Source organism: Homo sapiens, chromosome 3, assembly GCF_000001405.40.
Source record: "Homo sapiens chromosome 3, GRCh38.p14 Primary Assembly".
Lineage (NCBI taxonomy): Eukaryota > Metazoa > Chordata > Mammalia > Primates > Hominidae > Homo > Homo sapiens.
This window is the reverse complement of record NC_000003.12, coordinates 30,178,034-30,189,760: the sequence shown is the minus strand read 5'-3', so window position 1 is coordinate 30,189,760 and position 11,727 is coordinate 30,178,034. Positions and strand designations below refer to the sequence as shown.

The 11,727-nt window shown below is 36.8% G+C and overlaps 1 long non-coding RNA gene across 1 annotated transcript; it reads left to right on the top strand.

The window, feature by feature from the left end:
- The first annotated feature begins 4,897 nt into the window (after window positions 1-4,897).
- LOC124906224 (uncharacterized) lies at window positions 4,898-9,267 on the top strand. The gene is made up of 2 exons (XR_007095853.1): window positions 4,898-4,986; window positions 8,984-9,267. It is a non-coding gene; the product is annotated as an uncharacterized LOC124906224 (long non-coding RNA).
- The last annotated feature ends 2,460 nt before the right edge of the window (window positions 9,268-11,727 follow it).

Sequence of the window (11,727 nt, the reverse complement as noted above, 5' to 3'; positions counted from 1 at the left end):
AGATGGGGTCTTGCTCTGCCACTCAGCCTGGAGTACAGTGGCACAATCTTGGCTCACTGCAACCTCCGCCTCATGGGTTCAAGCGATTCTCCTTCCTCAGCCTCCCAAGAGGCTGGGATTACAGACACACACCACCATGCCTGGCTATTTTTTATATATTTTTTATTTTTAGTGGAGACAGGGTTTACCATGTTGGCCAGGCTGGTCTTGAACTCCTGACCTCAAGTGATCTGCCTGCTTCGGCCTCCCATAGTGCTGGGATTACAGGCATGAGCCAACGTGCCTGGCCTATAGTGATGAATTTACCACCCTTCAGGTTCTGGGTCTCTTAGGCTTAGAAGTTCAGTATGTTCGGCAATAGATGGTAGATCTATCTCTGAAGAGCAGACTCCACTTTTAACATACTCATGAAAGCTGATGCATGATGCAGAATGCTAATTGATTAATGGACAATCATTACAGGGTTTGTAACATTTGACAAACCAAATCTAGAACTTCTTTGTGAGCACAGTATAGATTCAACTAATTATTGCATAAATAATCATTAAAAATATATTGTGAGCCAAATATGGTCACAAGAAGTTAGGTTAGTTGTAGGATTCAAAAGCCTAATAATGCCAGGTGTTTCAGTGATCTACTATAAGGCAACAAAGCACCTGAAGCTTAGTAGTTTAAAACACCAACAATCATTTATTTTGCTCATAAGTCTGCAATTCTGGAAGGACTCAGAAGAGACTGTGTATCTGTGTTCTACATGTCATTAGCTGGAACAGCCTGAATGCAGGAGGTGACTTGATGCCTGGGGGCTGGAATCATCTGAAGGTTGACTCATTCACATATCTGACAGCTGCTGTTGGCTGTCTATTGTGAGAGCAGCTGGGGCTTTTGGCTTGGACACCTATAGGTAGCTTGGCTTTCTCCTAGCATGGTGGCTGGGTTCCAAGAGTGAACACCCAAGAGTAGTAAAAAGGTGCAAATGCATGGCAGTTTTTTGAAGTAACATTGGAAATCACGCACATCACTTACACAGTACTGTACTGGACAAGGAAATTGACACTTGCCCAGGTTGAAGGGCAGGTGAAATAGACCTCACCATGCTCTTAAGTAGCTTCACAGTCACATTGTAAAAAGAACATATAGGAGAGAATATTTGCAGCAGTCATCTTTGGAAAATATTGCCTGCTCCATCAGGCTATTAGAGTCCAGTGCGTGTACTGTTCCACAATTGAGCTATAACTGCAGTTTGATAAAACAGATGATATTCTTAACCCTATTTGGGCAAAATTTTCAAAAAGTCGTTAGCTTTCAAATGGCTAAATTTGACACGACTAAACTGGCTCTTTAGCCATAATATTCACATTTGAAAAGTACACCGACCAGTGGAAACGGCAATGGATAAACAATCAAGAGATGAGAATATCAGTCCTAACACTCCCATTATCTGTAAAACTTTGGAAAATATCAACCCCTCTGAACAACAGTTTGATAATTAGGGATTTTTTTACTCTAAGGTCATGTGACCACTTCTTGGCCTTTTAGCTAAGATCAAGTGTAAAATTATGTGACTTATATATGTGAATGACTGAGTATCTTGTTCATTTGGTTTATTTCCCTTTTCATTTTTTATAGGAAATATTTATTTGGGGGAAGGCTGTCAAGAAGGATGGCATTGAAACTGCTGGGAAATGTAAATTTGGAGCAGATCTGGAATCTGCTGCAAGTGTGAACACCCTCAGATGTTTTTGACTGGTGTTTGGAGAAGTGACCAGTTTCTCACCAGCCAACTGAAGAACAGATTTAATAAAATCTGGATTCTCCATATCTTCACTAAGAACATCTTTTTGTAGAGTAAAGGAGAATATAAAGATGATTTTTAACAATCAGCTAGTTCCTTACTAATGTTTTTACAGAAAACTGTACTGAACCTCCTTTTACCTTTTGGGAGCCTTGCAATTCAGTTCAGTAGATCTTACAGATAGGTTACTGACAAACAGAAAAAGTCACCTTCCTTTAGGCAAGGTTTCTCAACCTCAAGACAATTGACAATTTGGGCTGGATAATTCTTTCTTGCTAGAAGCTGACTTGTGTAGCGTAGGGAGCTTAGCATCTCTGCCTTCTATCCATTATATGCCAGTAACATCCCCTTTCCCTGTTCTGATCAACAAAAATGTCTTCAGACATTCCCAAATGTCTGGGACATAGTCATCCCTGGTGGAAGTCCACTGCTTCAGTATGTCATGCTGGAATTTTGTAGATTTTATCTACATGTTAGTCTTAATAGATAATGTGGTATTAAAAAATGCAGTGAGTCCTGTGCATTGTGACCAATTAAAACTCTAGAACAGTAGTTTTCAGTCTCGAACTCAGCCTCCAAGACTCTGACATAAATGATGTGGGTGTCACCTAGGTAGATTTTGTTGTTATTATTGTTATTGTGGGTTGTTGGCTTGTTTGGTTTTAGACTCCAAAGTGATTACAATATTCCACCAGGGACAAGAGACACTGCATTAGAGAAAAGTTAGTATCCTACTTTGAGTCCATGTAAGTTTGTGGACATGTGACTGTCACCGAAGTACTGAGCCAGGGCAAACTTGGACAAAGTTCCAGTCTCCTCATGCCAGCAATAGTCACTCCCTGCCAGACTTAGGCATCATCTGGCCAATGTCTCCAACAGGGAAGGTTACAATTAGTAAGACAGAATTATCTGCAGATTCAGAGATCAATCCTAGATCTGGGGCAAATATGGAAAAGGATCTTTATAATTAGCCTGACAAAAGACATTAATGGAAGAATTGAAATGCATAACAAATAAATGACAGAGATAAATGCTTGTGGTGGTGGTTCTTTGTGTGAGAAAGCACTGTTACTGACAGTGATATTGATATCTATTGTTAAGGGCAAGGTTAAGAAGGCAGATGCGTGCTTAATGGCAGGGAATATTTTCAATGGTGCTATTAATGTCATTGTGCATTTGTATGCCCATTATAACAAGTAAGAGTAAGATGGGTGCGATAAGGAGTGGCCTGGGAAAACCTCATAGCTTTTGGTATTGCACTAGCCATGATTTCTTAATGTTGAAAATTTTGAACGAAGCATTTTATTTATCACAGATATTTGTAAGAGTTTTTCAAATTCAAATCAACAGAAGAATTTTTTTGTTAGCCATTGCATACGGTGACTTATGCGAGTTCTTCAACCAGGTAGAAATCTCTGAGAACTGGCTGGATTCTGGCTCCCAGAGGCAACTAAGAGGGGGAAATTTTTGACATTTTGGAATCCCAGAAATCTGGATGAAAAGTAAAATGTTTCACAAAGGTTCTGGAGGTAAATGTATCACAGTGTTAGGAACAGTGGCATTTCAGAGGAGGAAAGGAACAGGCGCTCCGTCATTCTTGTCCTGCCCTAGCTCCAATTGCTTGGGTGCCACTATCTAAGAATCTTCATCTTGCTGCCCTTCAGTTATTCACACAGTAAATTGGAACTGGCAAGACCTAGAAGCCCAAAACCCTATTCTTTTGACTAGTCATTTCTCCATAATCATCACCCTTTGTTAAAATGGTATACAAGCCCCTGAGGCTAATTGCCTCTTTGGATTTTTAACTTCTTTTCTGTGAAGCCCCTGTGCATGTAAAATTAAAAGTATTTTTTATTCAAGTACTTTTTAATTTTAAAATTAAAAGTATTTTAAAGTTTAATTTTAAATTAATTAAAATTAAATTTTAATTTTAAAATTATAAAATACTTTTAATTGCAAATTTAAAGTACTTTAAAATTAAAAGTATACTTTAAAGCCCCCATATCTCTTTTCCTGTTAATCTGTCTTTTGTTAGTTTAATTCAAATACAGAACATAAGAAAGTAAAGAAAATTTATTTTCTTCTTCTACAAAGCTCATCACACTGATCTCTGTAGCTACAATTATATTGCCTTTTTCTATTTGTTTTCCTTCCTTCCTCTTATGAGGACCCTTGTGAATATATTGGATCCACTCAAGTAACATAATAGTAAAATCTCCATCTCTCAAAATTCTTACTTTAATCACAACTGTAAAGTCACTTTTGCTTCATATCATAACATTTTTGGATTTCAGGGGTCAGGATATGGGCATTCTGGAGAGTCAATCAGTCTACCACTGTATCTTATTCACAGTGTATGTGGTTCTAACAGAGGGACCCATTCACTGGTGAAAGGATGGGATGCAAATCAGGCTTGGCCAATTAAAGAAATCCACTTACCCCTAACCAACCACAGTGCTTATATCAGCTTGATCCACAAACTCTAACTTGATCTAATGAAACTTATATCAGAACTATTGGAAGAGAAGGAAATTGATTTCCAGTTGGGTTGTGTAATAAATTAAATGAAAGCCTGAAGCTTTTGGTGGCTATGTTTGTTGACAGTTAGGAGTACCCCGCCTTAAAATAAGGCATCACAGGGGAAAATTAAAGCCAGGATGGGGAGATTGAAGTCATTTGCTTACCCATATCCAACATTACCTGAAAGTCTATTCTGCTCTATTCTTTAAATTAAATAAAACTAAAAAGTAATTTTCTGCTTAATCTAAACTAAATTGGATTTCTATGTCTTGCAACCCAAAGTATCATGAATAATACATTATTATTCCCTATATAGAACATTAAATAAAAAATAAACTGGAGGTCAGAATGGTAATTTTAAAAATGCCACAAAGAGAAAGACAAGACTTTAATTGACTGACTCTTGTGTTATTTTTACATGTACTCAAATGAGCTGACAATATCTGATAATGTATGATAAACTCATAATTCATCTGTGCAGGAAGTTCTTCCATTAATTAGTAACCAAGTATTTCCTGAGGTTTTTCTCATGATGATAAGCATTTTGCTAAATTCAAACTGGGCTACCTTCTCTCAAGTGACACTATTCAATTAGAGAACAAAGCCTGTGCAAAAGGATTCATTCCTCTACAATAAGATGGGGCAGAGATACATGCTAACTGATGGTGTAGGTAAGTAAAAATCCAGGAATTTTGTGAAGAGGGGTGGAAGGATATCAGAACTATTGTTTGTAAGTGACACTTGACCCAGCTAGCATAGGAAAAATTGTTCTGTAGTCTGATCAGTGTGCTAAGTGAGTGGGAAGGCTCCAGGTTTCCAGCTGAATCAGGTATCATGCACTGTGGTTATGGAGATGGAATCTACTAGATCCCACTGATAATAGTGACAGAAGGTAGAAAGTTGGAAAACAAGTTCCCAAAAAGGAGGAGAGTGCTTTTCCCATCAAAAGAGGAGTGTGTTGGGTTTATAAAAGAGTAATTGTCTACCACAGCTAGATAAGAGAGGGAATGTCTTGGGGAAGACTGAGACAGGCTTTGAAGGGGGCATAGAATTTAGACACAAACCAAAAAGGGACTGTCTGGCAACTCCAAAATCACATGCTCTGTGACCTAGAAGAGTAACAAATTTTAACCAAAGGGAAAAGAAGAATAGAATCTGGGGAGAGAGGCCTGAGGGAGGCAGACAGTTCCCATAGAGAAGTAACAGTTGTTACTAACTCCTTTATGTAAGAATAACGACACAGACTCACTGACACAGTGTGGGAGGGAGCTCAAATCAACAGTTCTTTATTTCTTAATCATGCAGTAAATTATTAGAATTAAGTGACAGCTTCTTCTATGCAACCATAAAGTTATAGAATAGTGTTTTTATTTGTGTGTTTTTGTGTGATAATAAGTTACCCTTGCCTAAATGAGGCCCTTGCCTAACCCCAACTAAACTCCAGTGGAACCCTTTCTACAGTTTACAGTTACGAGGAGCATGGTGGCCACCTAGATAGTGTTAATGAGGCAGGAGGGATGTATTTGCAATTTCCGTTTTAGTTAGAAGATTCTGAATTGAATCATAGCGTTGCTTTTAATTTTATCCCCATCCCCAAGAAGTAATCCTAGTGAGTAAAAAAATTAATTTAGTAACCCAAGTGAGCACTCTTGCTGACATTTACTCACGGCGAGGGCAGGGGCAGGGGATTATGTGTGAAAATAGTATGAATACTGCAAATACATTGTAGGTTAGTTGGCATCTTGAAGGCTGGTTCTGGCATCTCAGAACTCTGTAAAATATTCTTTCTATGAGAAAATGCAATCTGATTTGCCTACTGGGTGAACCACAATTCCTTCAGTAAGGAATTATCTGTCATAGGAGATGAGGTTGCCAAAAAGGAATCATTTATGAAGGATCTTCTAGGCCAGGCAGAGGAGTCTGATGCAGAAGGGAAGAGAAGCCACTGGAAGCATCAGATGATGGAAGTGGCAGAATGAGAGCAATGATATGGGCCAGTTGGAAGGACAGGGCCATGAAGACTTAACTGGAGGAAGAAGCCGACATCAGAATCATCAACACCTAAGCAGTGACTGTGAATCTTGCTGCTTTTTTTAAGAGAAGGAGGAAAATTAATGCAATGAAATTTCCTAGGATTCTTCAAAAAGACCATTAGAGGTCTCTTTGAGTAAACAAAAGAACTTTATTTCTCTATGGCCTGATAAAATCATGCTTTCTCTAGCTTATGGTTTGTAACTCTGCACTTGAAAAAAAGTATTTTCCTTGGAGAGGGTAAAAACACAAGCCTAAACAGAAGCATTCTGTTGAGGTCATGCTTCAGTCAAAAGCTTTAAAAGCTCAGTGGGCACTTTCTCATGCAGAAATGGAAACAGCAGTGGTTTAAGATGAAGCGTGTCCATTCAATACAGTCCAGCAGGAAATGGTTATTAATAATTCCTGTGTCCCTCAAAATTGTCTTCTACCAGCTCCTGAAAAATAACGGCTTAAATAAAATAAGTTTTTGTTTCTTCTTTTATAAATAACAATAGGTGAGGATTTCCTTCCCGGGACTTCTAAGCACCCTGAATTTTATTGTATTTTACCAGATATACTATTATAATGTATTATAGTATATTTACGAAATATACTATTTACGTCAGAGTTCCTGCAGTAGCCATGTTTTATTACTCTGAAATCAACATGCCAATTAGTTAACTATGAATGTAGGCATTTGTATTAGTTTCTTATCGTTGTCATGTGTAACAAATTACCACCAACATAATGGCTTAAAATAACACAAATTTATTATCTTACATTTCAGGAGGTCAGAATTATAAAATGGGTCAGCAGGGCTGTATTCCTTCTAGAGGCTCTAGGAAAGAATTCATTTCGTTGTTATTTTCAGTTTCTTGGGGCCATCTGCATGCCTTGGTTCATGGCTTCTTCCTGTGATTTTAAAACCAGCAGTGTGGCTTCTTAAACTCGTTCTCTGACCTCTGCTTCTGTCATCACATCTTTTCTCTTACTGGCTCTCCTATTTCCCTCCTTAGAACTTTTCTTGTGATTATATCGGGCCCATCACGATACTCCAGGATAATCTCATCTCAAGATCCTTAATTTAATAACATCTGCAAGGTCTCTTTTTGCCACAGTAGCTAACACATTCACAGGTCCTGGGGACTAGGATGGAAACTCCATAAAATATATTATTTTTAAGTGCCTGCTCTTCTGGAAAGGGATACTGGTCCAAGATTATCTAAATTATCATTAATAAAACAATCCATGTTATTAAATTTTTTTCTTGTGGTATTTAATATCATAAGTAGTTGGTTTGGGGTCATGATTTTGAGGAGATTGTATAGCAGAAGGGGGTCTAGAGGTTTAATTCTATTATGGGTTTTCTTAGCTTAGAATGAATAAGGGAAGAGATTCCTCTATCTTCCTCCCACTTCAGAGAGCCTCTGACATACCCCCTTGTCTTCATCTCCATGTAATAAAGCTGAGCATTTAGAGCTTATTTTCTGGATATTTTCAGTCTGCTCTTAAAATGCATTTGGGCAGGAATCAGTTGGATTTCTTCTTTTATGACCAAAAGGATGTGCTGGATGTACACTAGTGTTTGGTCATTGATGGGACACAATTACTGAATATTGGAAATGTCCAGCCTGGGTCAGCAGAGGGCCTTTGCAATGCCTCACCACATCATTCTTCAACTCAGTGCATTCTTCAACTGCACATTCAGGAAGCAAGTGAAGCTATAGTTTATTTTTTGTCCAAGGAACACAGTCTAGGTGCTGACAGGAGTTGAAATGTGGCCCTTATAGCTATTTGATCTTGAGCAAAATATTGCAATTGCCTATCTTCTTCCTATTTGGAAAAAAAGGGCAATGTCTACTTACCACTTTTTGGAGCTTTTTGATACACTTAGACTTAAATTCTTAATAATATTTGTTATTATAGCAATAAATAAAATCATGTTAGAGTCCCAAATTTCTGTGTTTGGTGTTATAACAACAAATATCAACAAACAGTTGGCTTTTATAGTTTTTACCTGGTGAAACCCAGTACCCCTAAAAATGTGATGAAGCTGACAAAGACAAATCTGAGCCACAATGGAGGAATTAAAACTTAATTGATGAGCATGTGTAAGTAATTATGTCAGACTGAGGTCACATCAGAGATTCCCACTTCCCCAAAAATTTATCAGATGAAATGAATTTAAAAACAAAAAACGAAAAGTGAGCAATAAGAAGTCACAACCCAGTATCACAAATACCAAAAGTTTTTGGCAAGAAAACTGTTCCTTTACTCATAACACTTCTAAAATGAAATGTGTGTGATTTTTTTTCTGCCAACAACCAATTCTCCAACTCCCTGTGGAACCAAGTGGGTGTCCTACAATTTCATTTCAATTCTGACACTATCTGACGTTAGCACAGACTCCGTAGATTAAGGGCTAAGTCTCACAAGACTGAAACTGCCCTCACAGGGTTAAGGAGAAATACAAGCCAGACTTTAGGCAGAATTATAGTGGGTAAGCTGACCAGGGTATGCTGGTATGCTTCAACTCACTTGCCTGCAGCTGCCAGCTAACCAAGAGTCACATAGCACTTTGACCACCTGCTCCCCTATTGTTCCTATAGATAGAATCTCTAACACTGAAACTTTTAACCCAGGAATTGCTTAAAGTGTTTTTTAGATCCTGAATCCCAGTGGAACAGCTGTCATCAAGTGGTCTGAAGACCCCCACCAAGGAACCAATTCAGCAGAAGAATGCAGTTTTCTTCATCTCTCTGTCCCATGACTTCACCCTTTACTTTTCAATCAATCAGTGATCCCCACACTTTAGCCCATCACCCATCCAGACCGCTTAAAAAATCCATCACCAGATGTCTCAGGGAGGCACATTTGAGGTTTCTTCTTGTCTCCTCCTTCAGCTGCTCTTTGATTATTAAACTCTTTCTGTGTGGCAACCCCTAGTGTCTCAGGATATTGAATCACTCTGCATTGGGCAATGAACTTACGGTTACAAGACTGCTCCCCACATCAGACATGGTTGCAAATAGTGTATCCCCAGATTACCCACACTTCTGTCTGACTTTAATACATATTGGGAATTCCCCAAAAACTCTTCCTCAGTTTTAGATATTTTGCTATAATAGCTCACAGAACTCAGGGAAATACTTTATGTTTACTGATTTATCATAAAATATATTACAAAAATGCAAACGAATGGCCAGTTGAAGAGGTATATAGGGCCAGGTCCAGAAGGGTCCTGAGTGCAAGACCTTCTGTCCAATGGGGTTAGGGCGCACCACTCTGCTGGTATGTGGATGTGTTAACCAACCGAGAAGGAATCAATGGATGGAGAAACTATTCTAAAAATAAATCCAAACAACAGAAGTATATTTTTCATTAATGTCTTATGCTTTAGAAGAATAAGAACATGAATTCAATAAAAATCTAGATGACAAAACAATGAAATAAAACAGAAGTGGAGATTGGAAAATAGAGCCAGTAAATTGAGAAGAAAAATGATTCCATCATAGACAGAATAAATTATTAAACCTAACAGGAAACACAATAAACATGGTTGGCAATAAAATTAATAACATAAGAAATGTCTTGAGATAATAAGAAAGGAAAATGACAGAATGATGAAGACAATCTGGAATGGAAATATTGTGCAAAATGGAGAAACTAATTCAACATCTGGAAAATTCTGTTCCTGAGTGTTCTGCTAATATAAGAAATATTATAAATGAAACAGGCATTCAAAGAAATGCCTGGAAGAGTGAGAACTTGATCTACAAGTTGGGAAAAACCTCAGTTTATTTTAGAAGAAAAAATAGATCCAGAGTGATTGACACTCAGACATATCCTAGCTAAGATTTAAAAATATACTGAAAAAAAATTTTTTTCAAGCATTCAGACAGCAAAAGTGGGAGATGCTAGTCTGTCTTTAAGCTTTTCCTCACTGGCATTTAAGGCTAGAATTCAAGAGCAAAGTCTATAAAATTCTGAAAGAAAAAATTGTGATCCACGAATACTATGCCCAATCCAGTTGTCATTCCAGCATAAAAATCATAGACATTTTTAAACAAGTGAGAGCTATAGCTATATATACTCATGGATTCTTTATGGCATAAAGGTACTTGGTTATTAAACTCTTTCTGTGCTGCAACAGAGCAAGTTGCAGTACAACTTTCCTGACAACTAAGAGATTTTTTAAATAAACTTAGAAATGCAAGAGATGAAAATAAAAAGATCGTTGGTGACCATTAAATTTATGTTAAAATGAACCAACAGTGGGAATTATGATTACAGGATGGAGTACAAATGTAACTTTTACACACACATACACATGTGCATCCATATGCATAACAAAAATTAACTGCCAAGAAGAGGAACCAGAAGGAATGATAAAGTCTAATTTTATTGTCTCTATAGCAAGTAATCTAAAAACTCACAATATTAAAATATAAAGATAATTCCAAGATCTTAGTTATTTTAATAACCTTTTTCTATAAAGTTTAAGAAATCTTTTAGGAAGTAATATGTATTGGGGATAAAAAAAATTGATCCTAGGTTTTAAATGCATTTTATTACAATTTAAGTTTTTTTCTGCTACATTAAGTACAATAGAATTACATCATTTAACTTATAGATTGCCATAGAACTTATCCTTGTAAAATTCACCTCCATTAGATCAATGCCTACAGGTAGGAGAGTGACAGTTATTCAACAGGACTTCAAAACAAAATGCCAAATTTGCCATTCTTTTCTATGATTTTTCAAGCAGCAGAATACCTGTATCTCTGATCAAGTAAGATTTACATTCTAACTCAACAAATATTTGTTGAACACATACTATAAACAGCTATTAAGCGTCTATGCTAGGTGCTGTCATATGTCTTATTTTGTTCAATAATCAAAACACTAAACCGTCCTATAAAAGAATATTTTAAAACAGATCTTATAAGCAACTAGGATCACTTTCTTTTATACTTATTGAATGGTTTAAATGACTTGACATACACAAGTTTTTTTTTTTTTTTCCCCCTTGGTCTAGCTAAGAGAGTTCCTAGTGTCCACAACAATTAGTGAACAGCATTTATACATGAAAACAAGTGTACTCTACTGTTTTAAAAACATCTACTGGATGGTTTTTAATCTTTAGAAAAATAATGCTTTTGTGCACTGGTTTTAAAAACAACTAAACTAAGGTAAAATATCACATCAGTAAAATGTCAAACTATTTAATTAAAAAGTAAATTATATACTATGGTTCAATTTTTTATAGACTGAAAACTATTCATCTTGTTCTCTATCAAGCTACTGACTCATCCAAATGGAGAGATGTAATGACATTCAACTCAAGCTAAAGTTATTCTAACTGGTAGAAAGATAATATTTTAAATTTACTCTCTTTT